Below are 19,501 nucleotides of genomic sequence, written 5' to 3' on the forward strand. Positions count from 1 at the left end.
TTCAGACTCTAACCTGCCACTTTATTTTGCATGTGACTTTAGGAAGTGGGATGGGACAGTGGATAGGAAAATTTACAAATTATATTCTGGAATTTACCACAGCCAGAGGCAGCATACTAGGGGAAAAGGACCTTAACTGGGACACAAGACGCTGGATTCTCATTCCGACACCGCTACCATCTTTCTGGGTACAGTGTCTGTGTTCTTAAGCTTCTGTCTATTTCTTATTTTTCATCTGTAAAGTAAATGAATTGGCTTAGCAGTTCAGCACATGTATCTTGAGACCATGCTAGTGTACGACCCAGGTGCTCAGGAGATAACACGGGGGCTCAGAGATGAACAAGGCTTGGACCCTTCCCTCAAGCAGTTCCCAGCCTAGAAGGGATGGAAGACAGAAAAAAATCATGCACAGTGTGAGCACACAGCACATCACAAAAAGTTGAACTGTGAGCTCTGTTCATCCAGAAATTATGTCTAACTTGTTCACTGCTGCATCTGAGTATCTGGCAGCAACTGCACACCATAGATGCTTAAGAGAGATTTACTGGGCTGGGCGCGGTGGCTCACACCTGTAATCCTAGCACTTTGGGAGGCCGAGGCGGGTAGATCACCTGAGGTCAGGAGTTGGAGACGAGCCTGGCCAGCATGGTGAAACCTCATCTCTACTAAAATACAAAAAATTGACTGGGTGTGGTGGCACTCACCTGTAATCCCATCTACTCAGGAGGCTGAGGCAGGAGAATCGCTTGAACCCAGGAGGTGGAGGTTGCAGTGAGCTGAGATTGCACCGTTGCACTCCAGCTGGATAACAAGAGCAAAACTCTGTCTCACAAAAAAAAAAAAAAAGAGAGAGAGAGAGACAGATTTACTGAATGAATGAGTGTGACTGTGCCCTCTCCTTCTCCTGTTTCTGATCAGTTACATTTCCTTATTTGGAATTTTCTTCAGAAGAGCAGTCGGGGTTTGTCTGTGCATTTATTTAGATTTCTAATATGTTAACGAAAATTCTTTCAAAAATAGAAGTGCTTGACAAACAAAGCAATGATTTGGAATCTTGTGGAGCTCGAGTGTTATTTATTCCCCATTGCTATAGAAACGTGCAGATGCATTGTGGATGTTCAGGAACATTTTGTTGAATGAAAAAATGCATGCTGTTCAATAAGTATAGGAGCATATGCTCAACATCATTATTTACCACTGAAATGCAAATTTAAGCCATAATGAGATACTATAGTACACCCACCAGAATGGCCAAAATTCAAAAGATTGACAATATCAAATGTTGCCAAGGTTGTGGAGCAAATGTAACTTTTTTTGAGGTGGGGGTCTCACTATGTTGTCCAGGCTAATCTCAAACTCCTGGGCTTAAATGGTGCCTGGCTAGAACTCATATGCTGCTGGTGGGAATGTCAAATGGTATAGCTACTTTGGAAAACTTCTTGGCAGTCTCTATGAATGCTAGGCATATGTCTACCCTATTACTCAGAAATTACACTCCTGGGTTTATACTCAAGAGAAATGAGTGTGTATAGCCACCAAAAGAATGTTTATAGCAACTTTATAAATGCTCCAAAATGGAAACAACCCAAAAGGCTATCAATAGAAAAACTGATATGTAAATCATGGTATAGTCATACAACGGGTTACTATACAGCCACAAAAAAGAATGAACTATGCCATGCTTAACAACACAGATGAATCTCTTAGCCAAACACAAAAGAGTACATACTATATGGGTTTATTTTTATGAAATTCAAGAACAGGCAAAACTAATCAATGGTCAGAATAATGGTTACCTCTTAACAGCATCCCAGGCAGAGGGAATTCCCGTTCTAAATCAGTGGTCAGAATAGTGGTTATCTTTTAAGAGCATCCCAGGCAGAGGGCCCAGTATGTGAAAGAAATGGAGGCTTGACAAGGCGTGGTGTGTTGAGCAAACAGGTAGTTCAGTATGGTGGGGGGGGGGGGTGGGAGGATGTGGGGGCCATGGAGGAGGAGTGTAGGGAGGAGAGATTGGAAAGGTTATTTGGGGTCATTCTGTGAAAGGCTCTGTGGTAGTCATCAGGGCTATTGGCCATATACTTCAGGTTTTGCCTCTTTTGGCTACTGGTAGGATTGTACTGCCTGGCCCTTTGTGGGTGGGTGGGGCCATGTTTCCACGTTTTGTTCTGGCCAATGATTTGCAACAGGAAGTGATGTGTGTCACTTCCAGACAATGCCATCCAATTGTTAGTATGAGGCCCTCCAGAGCTCTGTCTTCCTCACTGGCATGCCAGTTGCCACTATTTGATGGTGGTTGCTCCATCAGCCTGGATCCCTAGGAAGACCCGAGCTCCCCCAGGGCTGATCACATTGCATAGATAGTATGAGAGATAAAACTTTGTGGTTTTTGGGTGCTTGTTACCACAGCATAACCTGTTTATTTGGACTGACACAGGCCTTGATTACAGTGTCACGTTCATAGGTTCATTTATTCATTCACTCATCACGTTGAATGCTGCTCTGTGCTAGATACTGTTCTAAATGCCAGAGCAGGCATAGTCCCTCCTCTCAAGGAGCTCTCATTCTGTTGGGGAACACAGACAATATGCAAATAAATGAACACGGTCATTATGGATTTTTAAATTTTTATTTATTTAAAATTTTTTAATTTCTGTGGGTGCATAGTAGGTAATTATAGATTGCAATTAGAGTTATAAAGGAAATAAACAGGGTGATGTGACATAAAGGAATTGGAAAGGAGAGTGGAGATGGTCATCAAGAAGGGTGACTTTATTTGAACTGAGACCTGAGGATGAGAGGGAGCTGTCATGCACGGGGCCATGGGAATTATGTTCCAGGCAATAGCAAGAAAGAGCCTGCTATGTTTGAGATGCCCTTGTTGCTGTGTGGATTGCAGGCAAAAGCAAAGCTGGAGAGTTACATTAGGAAGCTGTTGAAAATGCCCATGGGGGGAGGTGGTGATGTTGCCCTGAGAGTAATGACAGTAAAGGCGAAGACAAGTACACGGATTTGAAATATGTTTTGAAAGTAGAATCAACAGGATCTGTTGGTGGATTGGAAGTGAGGTGTGTTAGGCTGAATAATAGTCCCCAAAGACATCCATGTGTTAGTCCCTGGAACATGTAAATGTTATCTTATATAGTAAAAGGAATTTTGTGTGTATGATTAAAGTAAAGACCTTGAGATAAGGTGATTATCCCTGTGGGCCCTGAATGTAATCACTACTGTTCTTTTTTTTTTTTTTTTTTTTTTTTTTTTTTTTGAGACAGAGTTTTGCTCTTGTTGCCCAGGCTGGAGTGCAATGGCGCAATCTCAGCTCACCACAACCTCCACCTTCCAGGCTCAAGCGATTCTTCTGCCGCAGCCTCCCGAGTAGCTGGGATTACAGGCATGCGCCGCCACCACGCCCAGCTAATTTTGTATTTTTAATAGAGACAGGGCTTCTCCATGTTGGTCAGGCTGGTCTTGAACTCCTGACCTCAGGTGATCCGCCCACATCAGCCTCCCAAAGTGCTGGGATTACAGGTGTCAGCCACCCCGCCTGTCCTATAATCACTACTATTCTTATAAGAGGGAGGAAGAGGGAGAACTTACTACAGAGAAGGCAATGTGAAGACAGAAGGAAGGCCGGGCATGGTAGCTCATGCCTGTAATCCCAATACTTTGGGAGGCCAAGGTGGGAAGATCACTTGAGCCCAGGAGTTTAAGACCAGCCTGGGTAAGATAGAGAGACCCTGTCTGTACAAAAAGTTTAAAAATTAGCCAGGCATGGTGGTACATGCCTGTGGTTCCAGCTACTTGAGAGGCTGAGGTGGGAGGTTGAGGCTGCAGTGAGCTGTGATTGCACTGCACTCACAGTGCACTCAAAGTGTTGAGGAGACAATTGGCCATCCAGCTCTGGAATTCAGGGGAGAGCTGGGGCTACATTTGGGAGGCATCAGAGTGAGATGGTGCTTAAAGCCAATAGACGGGTTGAGGTCACCTAGGGAAGGTGAGTAGAGACGGAAGAGAAGGGGATTAAGCTATCATTCTATCCTTTGAAGGTGGGCAGAGGAGGAGGAATGAGCTGAGGTGGATGAGAAGGAGCAGTCAGGGAGATAGAAGAAAACTCACGAAAGTTTGATACCATGAAAGGGGAGAGGCCTGTTTCATTGAGGAAAGCATGGCTGATCAGGTTTTTAGAGACTAAATAAGAGGAGACATTTATGACCTGGACAAGAGCAGGGTCTACTGAGGGGTTGAGACTGAAGCAGGAGAGGAGTGAGTTAGGACACGGGAAAGTGTGTGTTAGCCTTCTTAACTCTCTGGAGAAGCTTTAGGGTGAGATGGAGCAGAAGAATAGGGCGAGGTAGAGTTTAAAAACTATTTAAGGTGGGGGACGTTGTTGTGATTATTTCTTGCTGACAAGTATCCCAAAACTTAGTGGCTTAAAACAAGTCATTATTCAGTACATCGTCACTTAACGTTGTTGATAGGTTCTTGGAAACTGTGACTTTGAATGAAGCCATGTATCATGAAACCAATTTTACTATAGGTGAATTGATATAAACAAGAGTTAGGCTCCTGTGGCATATTTATGGTCACGAAAACATCACCAAACCTTATAAATAAAGACCAAAACACTTCTAATGTTAAATATTAAAATAAACGGCCTGGTGCGGTGGTTCATGCCTGTAATCCCAGCACTTTGGGAGGCCGAGGTGGGCAGATCATGAGGTCAGGAGTTTGAGACCAGCCCGGTCAACATAGTGAAACCCCGTCCCTACTAAAAATACAAGAAATTACCCGGGCGTGGTGGCGGGTGCCTGTAATCCTGGCTACTTGGGAGGCTGAGGCAGGAGAATCACTTGAACCTGGGAGGCAGAGGTTGCAGTGAGCCAAGATCGTGCCACGGCACTCCAGCCCAGGTGACAGGGCAAGACTCCGTCTCAAAATAAATAAATAAAATAAATGTGAGCTATACATATATTTTATATTTAAGAAAGATTAATAAAAACAAGATCATTATTTACCTGCTTATTCCAGTTCAGGGTAGCAGGTGGTCAGAGCCTATCCTAGCAGCTCAGGGTGCAAGGCTGGAACCAGCCCTGGGCAGGATGCCATCCCATTGCAGGGTGCGTTCAGACACGCATACACACTCACTCAGACTTGAACCATGTAGACACGCCAATGAACTTGATATACACAGCTTTGAGACGTGAAAGGAAACCAGAATGCCTGGAGAAAACCCACGTAGACATGGGGAGAACCTGCAAACTTCACAGAGACAGTAGACCAATTTTTTTTTCTCATCCACATTATAAGAAAATGATATTGAATAAAACAATATGATTTGAGGACCTGCTGTATTTGATTCCGTTATTTTGTGGGTTAGGAATTTGGTTAGCGCCCCCCTAGATGATTGTTTTGCTTCTTGCAGCATTGACTGGGGTCATTGCTGGTAGTCAGCTGTTGAAAGGGCTGGTTTGAGGGTTTAAGGTGGCTTCACTCACATGCCTGGCACCTTGATGGGGATGACTAGAAGGCTAGGCTCCACCAGGACTATCGACTGGAGTGCAGACATGTGACTTCTCTAGCATGGCGGCCTCAGGGTAATTGAAGTTCTTGCAAAGTGGTCTCAGGGCTCTGTGAGGGAGTGCTCCAGCACAGGACAGATGCTGCTTGGCCTTTCATGACCTATGCATGGAGGTCACATAGTATCCCTTTTGCTGTACTCTATTGGTCAATCTAGCCACAACCCCTCCACCCCCCGGATTTAATTAGTGGGGACGTAGATACCTCCTTTTTTTTTCTTTTTTTTTTGACAGAGTCTTGCTCTGTCACCCAGTCTGGAGTGCAGTGGTGCAATCTCGGCTCACTGCAACCTCAGCCTCCCGGGTTCAAACGATTCTCCCACCTAAGCCTCCCTCATAGCTGGGATTACAGGTGCACGCCACCATGCCCAGCTAATTTTTTGTATTTCTAGTAGAGACGGGGTTTTGCCATGTTGGCCAGGCTGGGCTCGAACTCCTGACCTCAAGTGATCCTCCCGCCTCGGCCTCCCAAAGTGCTGGCTTTACAGGCATGAGCCACCGTGCCCTGCCAGATCCTCCCTCTTGATGGGAAGACTGTCAAGGAATTTGCAGCCATGTTTAAACCCCCACAGATACAGAATATGTTTACAGATTAGATGAGAAGGCACTGGGGAGTGGGGGGAGGTGAATGATGCAGAAGAGAGAAGAGGAAACTGCAGGAATAAAGTCCTTCAGAGGCCACAAGGGGATAATACTCTGAAGGCACTCCTCACTGAAACAGAAGAAAATAAGATATGGCGAGGACAGGTGCACAGTGAAAAGATGAGGCTGTTCCCATATGATAACTTCATGCTGCTCGATAATGTGCAGGTGAGCTCAACAGCTGAGGGGCGGATGTGGAGGGTTGAGAAGAAAAGAGGGTAGGACAGTAATCTCAGAGAATTGGAACATTAGGTATTTTTTTGAAGAAGATTTTAATAGTGATGACATTTTGTCATTTCTGGAAAGATTATAATACATGATTATTAATCCTCAGTAATATATTAATAACACAATCTCTTTACTAGCAATTATTAATTATGCCAACTATTTATGGAACCCATGAGAGATACTCCAGATTCTAGGTGTTGCTGACCAACTCTTGTTCACCACATTTCTTTAGGAGGGAGGCAAATGCTATTATTTCCATTTTATTGCTGCAGAAATTATATTCAATTTCATAAAGTAAATCTGATAAAGGACCCAAGATGAGAACTCTGAGACCATTTCTGAGGGAGGAGTATTGAGAACATGGAGAATACTTGCTTGTTTTACTTGAGAGAATGTTTGGATTGCCAACTTTTAAGAGAGATAAAAAAGATTATTTGGCAAAAGTCAGTCTTCAGCAAAATTACTTAGTTAAGTGAAATATTTTTGCAAATGATGCTTCCAGTGTTAAAAACATGTTTGTAATTCATGTTCTGGAATTGCTTTCAGGAGGAGTTTCTGATACACGCGTGCGCACACACACACACACACACACACACTCTACAATTATCAGGATTATGTTTATTTATTAAATCACTCACCCAAATATTTTATTTATCCTAATCTCATAATGCACCTTACTTAGTCTCAGATATTTCCAAAAATCAACCCCCCATGAAAGTACTGAAAAATCATCGACAGTGAGGAAATTACAGAGAAGGTGAATCAGGCTTTGCTGAGAATTTCCAAAGGGGGGTTCCAACGATGTTCTGAGCAGCTCCATTGCAAAGGTCCACACACATGCGTCACAGAATCCCATTATGTCAGGCATGACTGAGGTCTTAGAGTCACCCAAATAAAACTTATCTATGTGCTCTGACCTCTCCTCCTTCTGACACTCTTTATATTTATCTACCAATTGGGCTTCCAGTCATTCAATTAGTCAAGCTAAAGATTGTAGGGTCAACTTGACCCTCTGCTCCATTACTGTAAAATTCACTTGTTCATTGCTCACCACTATCAGTTAGAAATGCGTTCAGCTATGAGGTACAGAAACCCTACCTAACAATGGCTTAAATACATTCATTTATTTTTCTTACATAACAAAAAGTCACATCCACATTCAAGGCAGGAAGAATAGGAAGGTGAAGGGTGACGTCAGCTGACTTTCCCTTTTGTTAGGATAGAAAAATCTTTCCCAGAAATCTCCAAAGCATACTTCCCCTTAGGCCTCATTGGTCAGAATTGGATCCCATGGCCCCTCCCCGGCCCCGCCAACCTACAAAGGAAGCTGATCAGTTAGGGAATAAGATTGTCATAATTGGCATAGACCAGTGTAGATCTATCACTGATCTGGACACATTGATTCAGCCCAAATCAAGTTCTGTTAGCAAGGAAGATGGGAAAATGGTTTTGGGTAAAAAATGGTGTTGGCCACAATTGCAATCTGCTCATTTTAGTTCTGCAGCAGCTGATTTTAGGTATGGCACAGTGGCTCATGCCATATATAAATGGCCGGGTGCGGTGGCTCATGCCTATAACCCTAGCACCTTGGGAGGCTGAGGCCAGTGGATCTCCTGAGCTCAGGAGTTCAAGACCAGTCTGGGCAACATGGCGAAACCCTGTCTCTACCAAAATCACAAAAAATTAGCCAGGTGTGGTGGTGCGTGCCTGTGGTCTCAGCTACTTGGGAGGCTGAGGTGGGAGGATTGCTTGAGCGTAGAGGTGGAGGTTGCAGTGAGCTGAGATGGCACTGCTGCACTCCAGCCTGGGTGACAGAATGAGACCCCATCTCAAACAAAACAAAGCAAAAACCATAATCATGAATACTAAGGGCATGCCTCACAAATCCCTGTGGTCTCATATCTGACCAACTGTGCCCATGTATGTTTCTTACCCCAACACACAGTAACATGTGCAGCCCCTTATCTTAAAAGGGTGAACTTTGCTTGAGTTACATGCAATGGATTCAGCAGGTTCTTGCCAAGTGTTGGCTGCCTGTTTGCTCTCCTGATGTCTACCTGATTAAAAGAACCTTATAAAAGGAGGAAAAGGTCAGGGTAAAAACATTTCATGCAGCCTCTAGAAACAGAACTCAGTCCCTTAGGAAAAGTCACCTCTCTCTGGTAGGACTTGGCACCAACGATTGCCACACACTAGTGAGAGTTGGGCCAACCAGTTGTAGGGGTGGAAAGTCCTCTGGTTTGGTGTCGTCTTTGTCGGGAAAAAAGGCAGAACCCTTTCCTCCCCTTCTTAACTCCACCTCTCACCCAGATTTGCAAGCAAACGTTACATTGGACCAACAGTGGGAATCTGAGAACTTTTTAGCAGAAATTTTCACTATTTTGGCATTTGAAACCTAGTGTAAAGTAATTGGAAGAAAAAAGTGTCTATGGAGTTCTGTAGGTCTTACTCAAACATGTTCTGAGAAAAATCAACTCAAGGACATTGTCACGAGTAAAGACTATCTAGGGTCCTTGGCTCCGGAGGCCTTGCCTTCTCATGGGAAATCAAGAGTAGTGTTGAGGAGCAAGCTCAAGTCAGAAGATTTTCATACAAATCCTTGCTTCCCACATACTAGCTGAGTGACTTTGACAAGTTGCTTGACCTCTCTGTGCACAGTTCCGATGTGTGCTGGAGCTGGTTTATCCCCACTGGAAAGACGGATGTTTGCATTTCTTCCCAACTCTGTGTTCACTGACATCATGTTGGCTGTGGTGGGAATCTTTATACCATGGGAATTGGCAAATCAGTGTTTCCCCAGTCCACAGAGTTGTAAACATTTACCAGTGCACCACTGCATGTTTTCTACTTTGTACAATGGGCTGATAATACCTTCCTCACCTAGGGGATGAATTGAGAGAACTCATAGGAGACAAAAGTGATAGCCCTTAATACACACGAGTTTTCTAATTCTTTTAGCCATGTAAATGTTTGCTATATTATTGTTGAGACTGCTTTTTGGAGAGGTGGGAGCTGATTTCACTTGCTCTATCATTGGTTTGCAAAGCCACTTACCATTTTGGTATCCCTGTTGCTCCTGGGGCCTATTTGACTGCTATGGCAACCTGTCAACCTACCCTGAAATTCAGCAAATTATTTAACCTGATGGCATGGCCGGAATAATGGGGTTGTGTTGGCAGAGAGACACCGGAGTCTCTGAAGAAAACACATGCATGATACAAAGGTCCCAGATTATTACACCTGAGTCGGGGATATATCTTGACCTGATTGTGGTGGAGATGGACTGTAATCAATGGAGGACTACAATGGCATGGTCTCAGCTCACTGCAACCTCCACCTCCCAGGTTCAAGTGATTCTCCTGTCTCAGCCTCCCAAGTAGCTGGGATTACAGGTGCGCTCCACTTCGCCTGGCTAATTTTTGTATTTTTAGTAGAGATGGGGTTTCTCCATGTTGGTCAGGCTGATCTTGAACTCCTGACCTCAGGTGATCCACCTGCCTTGGCCTCCCAAAGTGCTGGGATTACAGGCGTGAGCCACTGTGCCTGGCCAATTTCCATGAATTTCAAATGGCTTAATAGATAGCTTATTAAAATACAAAAACAAAAACCAGGAGACAGGATGGTATAAAGATGAGAAAGACACACTCTGAAATGCCATCAGCTGTGTCTTAGGATACCGCTAGAATGGGATAGATTTCTTATTCTCCTTTTTGGGGATATCTCATCCTGCATTAGTCAGCTATTCCACAATGATGCTGCTTAACACACTGCTCCAGAACTCAGTGGCTTACAATAACAAGAATTTGTTCCCACACAAATTGTCTGTGGGTCAGCTGATCTAGCTCGGCTTGGCTCCAGGCTGTGGACTCCATTTAGATCTGCTACATGGATTCCATTCAGTGGCTCAGGTGATGACCTGGGGAATCCTGTTCTCACAGTGGAGGCAGGAGTGCAAAAGGATTGCAAAAGCACAGTGGCAGCCTCTGGGCCAAAGGAAGTCAAACGGCCAAGTCCAACAGTAAGTGGGCAGGTAGTATGTGCCACCCATGGTAGGAGAGGAGAGGGGAGAAAATATTTGCTGAACAATGATCCAAACTGTCACACAAACCATCACACTTATTTGAAAATAAGCTGATAAACTATTTTTCTAATTAAAAATATGTTCTTGTTAAAAATAATACTTTACATTTGTATTGCATATTATGGTTTTAAAAGCATTTTTGCACCATTCTCTCATACGTTTCTTCCAGTGATAGAGTGGAAAGGTAGCATCCCCATTTTTAAAGATGTGAAGATTCTGGCTGCATTATTTTCCTAGAACTGGTGTAACAAAATTACCATAAGCCTTGTGGCTTGAAACAGAAATTTATTCTCCCACAGTTCTGGAGCCTAGAAGTCCAAAATCAAGATGGCGGCAGGGCCATGCTGTCTCTGAAGGGCGCAGGGATGGATCCGTCCTTGCCTCTTCCTGGCTTCTGGTGTTTGCTGGCCGTCTTTGGGACTCCTTGGCCTGCACCTGCATCACCCCTGTCTCTGTCTCCATCATCACATGGCCTTTCCTGCTCTTTTCCTTTGTTAGTTAGTTTGTTTGTTTAAGACAGAGTTCTGTTCTTGTTGCCCAGCTGGAGTGCAATGGCACGGTCTTGGCTCACTGCAACCTCTGCCTCCCAGGTTCAAGCGATTCCCCTGCCTCAAGCGATTCCCAGTAGCTGGGATTACAGGCGCCCATCACCTTGCCTGGCTAAGTTTTGTACTTTTAGTAGAGATGGGGTTTCACCATGTTGGTCAGGCTGGCCTCGAACTCCTGATCTCAGGTGCTCTGCCTGCCTCAGCCTCCCAAAGTGCTGGGATTACAGGCATGAGCCACTGCCCCCAGCCTACCTTTTCCTTTTTTTAAGGACACCAGTCATATTGAATTTAGGACTCACCTTAATCCAGTATGACCTCATCTTTACTTGATTACATCTGCAAAGACCCTATTTTCACATAAGGTCACATTCACAGGTTCTGTGCAGATGTGAATGTGGGGGGACACCATTAACTCAGTACACTGGCTGGCAGAATTTATGGCATCTACACTCTTTCTTGACAATTCCTCTGGTGTCTGGTATCCTCCCTGCCAAATCCATGCCACATCTCTAAGGCCAGATCTTCTTACACTCCTCTGGGCATACATATCGCTGAGAGTCTTGTTAAAAGGCAGACTCTGACTCAGAAAGGTCTGGGTGGACCTCAGAGCTGGGATTAGGGTGAGCCGAGGAGGTGCCCTGTACGACCCTGACAGTGAGGGCCTCCTTAAATGCTGTGCCCGGGATGCCTCACCTGTGCCACCCTAGTCCTGGCCCTGTGAGATTCTGCCTTTCTGACAAATGCTGCTGGGCCAAGGACCACACTTTGAGTTGCAGTCCACGTGGGTTTCATGCGTGGTATCTCACCCTCAATAGCAATGAGGGTGTTTCTATTTTGAAGTTGGATGTCTGTAACTCCTAGAAAGGTAACAGTGGTTCTGCTACATTTTTCTTTTTCTTTTTAAATAACATTGGGTCACATGGGCTGGGCTGGCTGCCAATAATGTTGGTTCTTTAGTGACATTTCAGGAAATTAAGCTGGTAGCACAGAGATTCAGGGCCCCTTTGTAAGCACCTGGTCAGACCTTCATCCCCAGCCCTCCTGGCTTCCCAGAATATCCCACCATTAGTTCTGCCTCCTGACCTCTGTAGCACTGCCTGGAAGAGGTCTTTGCTCTCTTCCAATAGCCTCCCCTACCAGCCAGGGGCTGGGCCCAAACCAGCTACCCCATCACCAGCAATAGAGCCTATGCACTGAGCCCTGACCCCAGGCCTTGCTGCAAGCCCTACTCTTTCCTTACAGTTTTATATATATATTTATTTATTTATATTATATATATATTTATATATTTATTTTAAAATTTTATTTTTAGAGAATAAAATTTTCTCAGGGTCGTGCTTTGTCGCCCGGGCTGGAGTGCAGTGGTGCAGTCATAGCTGTCTATATTTTTGAACTTAATTTGCCTTCCCTGTTACCGGCCCCATTTATGTCCATCAACACATCTCTTGAGTCAGAGGGCACAGGCTTGGGGTGTTGGGCCCTTCCCTCCCCCAGATCCTCTGCTCCTCTCACACAGGGCTCTGCCTTCTCTCCACGCTCCACTTTTGCAACTGAGGGATGTCAGAGGGCAGCCAGAGGCCTCCCCGCCCAACTTCCAGGGGTGAAGAAGAGAGACACTATCCTGTTAAGTCCCCATGCAGCTTTTGTCATTTGCAGTGGCTAGGGAGAAGCGGCTATAGGACTTTTCCTCTGTGATGACTGAAGACACTGCAGCACATGGGGAATTATGGGTGTTTTTGGAGCTCACAGAGTAAGTTGGAGAAAAGAGGTAAATCCTTTTAGTGGAAAGAATCTTCCCCACAGGTGTTAGTCAGGAGCATTCTCATTCAGGTTTTTTAAAAATTGGGACTCCTCTGAGATAACTGAGCCTTTACAAAAATTATTATGATTATTTTAAATAGAGACAGGGTCTTGCTGTTGCCCAGGCTGGTCTTGAACTCCTAGGCTCAAGCAATCCTTCCGCCTTGGCTTCCCAAAATGCTGGGATTACAGATGTGAGCCACCACACCCGGCCAATCACTGAGTCTTGATGCAACATGAGATGTGTGTGCAAATGTCAGGATAGCTTTTTCTTTTCGGTTTTTGTTTGTTTGTTTGTTTTGTTTGTTTTGTTTTTGTTTTTTTGAGATGGAGGAGTCTCGCTCTTTCACCCAAGCTGGAGTGCAATGGTGTGATCTCGGCTCATCGCAATCTCTGCCTCCCAGGTTCAAGTGATTCTCCTGCCTCAGCCTCCCGAGTAGCTGGGATTACAGGCAGGTGCCACCACACCTGGCTAATTTTGTATTTTTAGTAGAGACGGGGTTTCTCCATTTTGGTTAGGCTGGTCTCGAACTCCCGACCTCAGGTGATCCTCCTGCCTCGGCCTCCCAAAATGCTGGGATTACAGGCGTGAGCCACCGTGCCCGGCCTCCCCTCTTTCTGATAGCACTCAATATTTCCACACAACTCCAGTGAGGTTCAAGGAATTGGAAAAACTTTGAAGCAAGTGAGGGCCAAGGGCTTCACTTTTTCAGTTTTTCAGATTTTCCAGCTATGATTTCCTGGACTCAAGAGTCCTTGGCTGTAGGGTGCATGAGAAGGAAAGATGGGTGAAATAACAAAGAGGAATGTTCCCTTTCTGTCTCCTACCACTGAGAGATTCTGGGGTGACAGGAGTGGAAGGGGGAGAGGCAGGAAAGTCACGCTATGTGAGAAAATAATTAAAATGAATATAGAGATACTAAATGTAGAAGCCAATTTTTTTTTTTTTTTTTGAGACAGGGTCACTGAGGCTGGAGTGTGATGGCATGATCATAGCTCACTGCCACCTTGAACTCCTGGAGCTCAAGGGATCCTCTCATCTCAGCCTCCCAAGTAGCTAGGACTACAGGCATGTGCCACCATGCCCAGCTAATTTTTTAAAATCTTTGTAGAGATGGGGTCTTGCTGTGTTGCCCAAGCTGGTCTTGAACTCCTGGGCTCGGGTAAGCCTCCTGCCTTGGCCTCCCAAAGTGCTGGGATTACAAGGTGAGCCACTATGCCCAGCCCCCAAAAATAAATCTTGTGAGTTAAAAATAAAATTTTAAAGTGATTTTAGAAGACAGATATTATAAAATATCTTGACTTCTTGTATTAAATGAGTTTTCAAATTAAAGCTTCCTCATTTCCTTACTTTTCTGACCGTGGGACTAAAAATGAAACTTTCCCAAAATTAAGCACGGTGGCTCACGCCTGTAATCCCAGCACTTTGGGAGGCCGAGGCAGGCGGATCACCTGAGGTCAGGAGTTCAAGACTAGCCTGACTAACATGCAGAAACCCCGTCTCTACTAAAAAAAATACAAAATTAGCCAGGCGTGGTGGTGCATGCCTGTAGTCCCAGCTACTCGGGAGGCTGAGGCAGGAGAATCGCTTGAACCTGGGAGGCGGAGGTTGTGGTTAGCTGAGATCACGCCATTGCTCTCCAGCCTGGGCAACAAGAGTGAAACTCCATCTCAAAAAACAAAAACAAAAATTAAAACAAAGAAAAAAACAACAACACTCTAAGCACCTCATTTCTCTGGCTCCCAGACCTTTTTGGTCCAGCCTCTCCTCCCACAGCTAACTGCTCTTAATGCCCCTGGTTCTCTCTTACTGGTATGAGCCTGAGCTCAGGAACGCCTGCTCTGGAGCTAGGGTAAGGGGCATTTCAAGGCTGGGCAAGGCTGGGAAGGAAGGGTGGGGTTTGCTGGGTTAAGCTTAGTGGCTTCTGGAGTCAAGACAAACACTGCTCATTGGCAGTGTGACCCTGGGCAAGTTCACCTTCTGAACCTTTCTCCTTTGTAGAGGAAGCCATTTCTACCCTCTGTGGGCTGACAGGAGAATTGCACAAAGGGATATCTATAAACTGCATGTCACTAAAGCAAAGTGCCCTCAACACTCAGCCATCAGAATCAGAGGCTTCTGCTGTTCTATTGCCGCTGGGGATCTTTGCTTGCTGGTGTGTGTGTGTGTGTGTGTGTTTTAATATAGAACTGGAAAGAGACAAAAGAGCTCATGATAAGGCAGGATATGCCAGGAAATCTGTGACCAAGTCAGTGAGAAAGGAGTTGAAACCAGCGGGTAAGTGAGGTTTCTAAGGGGCTCTCTGAGGACCCCTGGAATCTGCCACTCCCCACACCACGGGAGGGAACGACCCGGAATCTTGGCGCTGTGAGGAGAGACACATGTTAGACCTCAGAGTTGCAGTCCCTTTTCATAAGAGAGGAAAAAGTCACCTTTTTGGAGACAGTAGGTTGGAGAGGACACAACAGGACCGTACTCAAATCCATATAAATCTTTTACTTAAAAGTCATATAAAAGAATAAAAAATGCAGATTTCTGAATCAACTGTAGATAAGGAAGCAAATGATGTTGAAAGGTGCCCATTAATTTAAAATTTCATCATAGGAATTTGGGTGACCTTTTGCACTCAGTATTAAAAAAAACCATCAAGTTGCTCTTTGGAACAGTAGCATTTAGGTTTGTTTTTTTTTTTTTTTGTCACACTTGTTTATTTCTTTGGGATGTTGCTGTGTGTCATGGAAGAAACGCTCCCCTGAAAACTGTAACCAAACAAAGTTTGGTTAAAACAAAGTTGGTTCCTTTGTTTTCATGGAAATGTCAGACAACTATGAAAAGCTAAGGAAGCATGTTGAACTGAAGGTCTGGCTTTGGTAAATTAGGCAGAGATGTTCTCAGCAGCAAACAGGTAAAATCTGACATCGAGAAGCATTATTTTAATGTAGGACCAGTTATAATCTTAAAGAACTGACTAGGTTCTAAAATAATAGAACTGAGAAATAGGACTGAGAAATGACCAACATCAAGTATATACGGTACACTTAGCACTTGTTTCTATAGAAAACATTTCAAATCAAGTTCTTTATGATGTGAACCAGATTTTCCAAATGCCTAAACCACTTCTGAGCTTTAAGCAAGGCCTCAGAAATTCAGCGGGTGCCTGGGAGGCTTCATTCACATTCACCTCTAAGGAGAGGCTAAAAGAGGAATTTCCAGATGGCAGCTACTGGCTCAGAACCAGGGGGTCCCTTGCCAAGTCTGTCTCTATGTGGCTCCCGGAATTGCTGAGGTCTCACTTCTCAGAGGGCTTTGATGGAAAATAAAGCAACAGCTGACGCTCACGGGCCTCGGAACTCTGGCCAGGCTCCCTGAGGGGTGCATCCTAGGAGAACTGAAAAATGGGATTGGAGCTTTTGCCTTATCCTTACACCCCAAGTTCTTTGTGTGGCAGAACATCTATGAAAAAATAATAAAATATTGTCTGATATTTCCCTTTACTTCTGGTATTGCTTTTGACCTTCTCAAAACCCACCCCTCCCACCTCTAACAAACCAAAATGGAAAATGACAATTCAGGCAGCTGTTAATTGGCTCACTCTCTCAAGGCAAGCACTGTCTCAAGGCAGTCTCAAGGCAGAGATGACACAGCAAAAAACAGAGGGGGAGAAAAAAGTCTATTATTGGCTTGTGATTTACAAAAGCCAAAGTCCTTTAGATAAAAGGCCAGGAGTCGTACCAACATAGATACCAAATCCAGGAGAACACAGACCAGCGATAAGAGGGACGCTTCCCCATGACCCAGACCAGCCTAAAGCCCCTGTGGGGGCAGCCAGTGGGGAGCTGTCAGACCTTGGACATGGTGGTCTTTGAGAATGGGTCTGCCCTTCTCTCCCTGACCAGTTGGGATAGACACCTGACTGGAATCCTTGACACTGGCAGGTGTTTCTATGAACAGAGAGGACTGTGCCTGTCTTCCTGAATCCCAACCCAGAGTAGAAGCAGTGGAGACATGGATCTGGGTTGAGAAATGGGTTTTCCTGTCCCCCTGTGTCACCCACATCTTCACAAAGGACTTACAGGTGGCTGAGAGATCTGTAGGAATGGAATGGGGCTTGCAGGTGGCCCCAGAAATCTGAGGAGACCAATGACTAAGACCAGATGTGGGTCAGTGGTCATCTTGGCAGGTATCACTGTGGACAGATGACACTGAGGGCCACTCCTCTGACCTTGGGTTGTCAACTGCTACCTGGTAGCCCCACCCCTCCCCTTTCTACCCCTAGACCTTGGCCTCCAGGGAAAAAGTGTGTGTAGGAACTCCCTCTGCCATTTTGAAAAGACAGGAGCTAAAAGCAGTTCCATGAAGGACAGGCGTTTCGTTTCATACCTGAGTTTGTGAAATAAGAGTTGTTCTTGCTACACGTGATTTTTACCTTTCTGTCTTCTCCATTGACTTAGTAATGAGACAGATCAGCACGAGGATAACTTGTAGCCATACACCTGGCAGGTTCTGCAAGTCAGAGAACTGTAACCACATGCTGGGCCTTAGAGCAATCTTAGGGCACCTGCTTTTCTCCTGCCTACCCATTTTATAGAAAAAACAAGAGAGGCTCCTTCCGTGGCTGGTAGCACAGGGCAAAGTAAGGAAAGGGATGTGCCAGCAGTGGGTTTGAATGAGGATCTGGGTGACCAGCGGTGAATGTATGTTGTCTGTTAGTCCAGAATCTACATGCTGGGCACGTTAGGGATCCCTCTGGGGAGGGGCGCCTTTGGCTTGCCTTGTTGGTGTGAGCCGAGCACGCGTGCTTGTTTCAATCCTGACCGCCGGTCAATTTGTGGAACAAGTCCTCATCGAGTGTTTCATTCTGGTCCTTGGAGCGGGTGGACAAGAAAATGTAGCCGCCAATGTACTCGTGCACAATCTTGCAATCTGCACTCAGGCAGGTGAAAGCAGTAAAGACGTTTTGGTCAAACTCGATGACCACCTGGAAGAGGAAGGCACAGAGAAGCTTAAACTCTGACAAGGAATGATGAAAAAAAAAGTGCTTTGCTGGACTGGCCCCTGGAGCTGAGGGCTGCTGAGGTGGATAACAGATGGATATCCCTCTAAAACACACAGAAAACCATCACTTCCATTAAACGCTTCCAGAAAACATCTTTGCTCTCTTTGCGCCCTCTGGTGGTGTCGACTTTGCTGCACGTCTGGTTAAAAAAACTCCCAACACATTTTCTGTCTACAGTTTAGATACAAGGATTTTGCCCAAGCACTCTCTGTCTCCCTGTGTTGAGGGGCAGGGTGCTTCGCAGGCACTTTATTTTTATTTTTATTTTTTTTTTGAGATGGAGTCTCTCTCTGTCACCCAGGCTGGGGTACAGTGGCACGATCTCGGGCCACTGCAACCTCTGCCTCCCAGGTTCAAGCGATTCTCATGCCTCAGCCTCCCAAGTAGTTGGGATTACAGGTGTGTGCCACCACACCTGGCTAATTTTTGTATTTTCAGTAGAGACGGGGGTTTCACCATGTTGGCCAGGCTGGTCTTGAACGCCTGACCTCAAGTGATCCATGCCTCGGACCCCCAAAGTGTTGGGATTATAGGCGTGAGCCACTGCACCCGGCCTGCAGGCTCTTTAATGAATAAAAGTCTGCCTGAATTTTCCTACAGCCACTGCCCGGAACCCTTTCCTAGCTGCAAGTCATAAACTCTAAGCACTAGAAGAAAGACTTAGAGACTTTGCTGGTTCACAACCTTGGCTGCCCATTGAAATCACTTGTGGACCTTTAAAAATTACTAATGGTTCGTTCCTCCTCCCAGAGATTCAGATTTAACTGGCCTTGGGTGTGGTCTAGGCAGTGGTGTTTTAAAGCTCCCCAGGTGATCCTAATACGCATCAAGGCTTTAGAGCTACCGCCTTAGAGGTCATCTAATCTCTGAACTTGATTTTACAAATAAGCACCCAGATGATTATCAACACTGCTGAGAGGAAGTCAGGGTTCTTAACAAATGTGTGGGTCTCTTACCATCCCTCTACGTCAGTGACTTTCTATTGGAAAATGAGAATGCCAAAGGAATGAGGGAAGATTGAGTCTGTATCAGCAACATCTGAATGTTTTAATTAATTCAAGAATGAATGAAACAGGGTCTTGCTTTGTTACCCAGGCTGGAGTGCAGTGGCACAGTCACTGCTCACTGTAACCTCGAACCTCAACTGATCATCCCTGGCTGAGTAGCTGAAACTACAGGTGCACACCATCACACCTGGCTAGTTCAGCGTTTTTTTTTTTTGTTTTTTTTTTTTTTAATTTTCTGTGGAGACAGGGTCTCATTATGTTGCCCAGGCTGGTCTCGAACTCCCAGCCTCAAGTGATCCTTCCCACCTCGGCCTCCCAAAGCACTGGGCAGAATGTTTTAAATTAGCGGCAGGATGCTAAGCTGCCTCTAACTTCATCTGGAATTTTCCATGATACAGGCTTGGCCTGAACTTAGCTCCTAGGATGGGAGATGATGGGAGGCTGTAACATAGGCTAGGGGTTTGAGGGCTCCTGGTTTTAAGAGGTGAAGCTTTTCTCAGTCATCACTATGGACCTCACTTTCTTCTTCAGCAGTTTTTCCCTTTTGGGCCTGGAATGCTCT

The 19,501-nt window shown here is 45.3% G+C and overlaps 1 protein-coding gene and 1 long non-coding RNA gene across 5 annotated transcripts in view, besides 1 other annotated feature; both read right to left on the reverse strand.

The window, feature by feature from the left end:
• On the reverse strand, nt 1-745 carry LOC124904865 (uncharacterized). Its single transcript, XR_007067512.1, has 2 exons — nt 705-745; nt 1-375 (listed from the first exon to the last, which is right to left on the reverse strand). It is a non-coding gene; the product is annotated as an uncharacterized LOC124904865 (long non-coding RNA).
• Nucleotides 14,793-14,942: a silencer, noted in NCBI's record as "silent region_12662". NCBI's record gives its function as "represses an Ori minimal core promoter by ATAC-STARR-seq in GM12878 lymphoblastoid cells {active_cell/tissue: GM12878}" and the evidence as "EXISTENCE:reporter gene assay evidence [ECO:0000049][PMID:35858748]".
• Nucleotides 15,353-19,501, reverse strand: part of FERMT1 (FERM domain containing kindlin 1) — a 48,186-nt gene continuing 44,037 nt past the window's right edge. For all 4 annotated transcript variants that reach the window (NM_017671.5, XM_024451935.2, XM_047440259.1 and 1 more), the window contains one exon: nt 15,353-17,854. In NM_017671.5, coding sequence (NP_060141.3) covers nt 17,681-17,854 — 174 coding nt within the window. In that variant the 3' untranslated portion in view covers nt 15,353-17,680. The remainder of the gene's footprint in view (nt 17,855-19,501) is intronic.

This window comes from Homo sapiens, chromosome 20 (genome assembly GCF_000001405.40).
Source record: "Homo sapiens chromosome 20, GRCh38.p14 Primary Assembly".
NCBI classification, from domain to species: domain Eukaryota; kingdom Metazoa; phylum Chordata; class Mammalia; order Primates; family Hominidae; genus Homo; species Homo sapiens.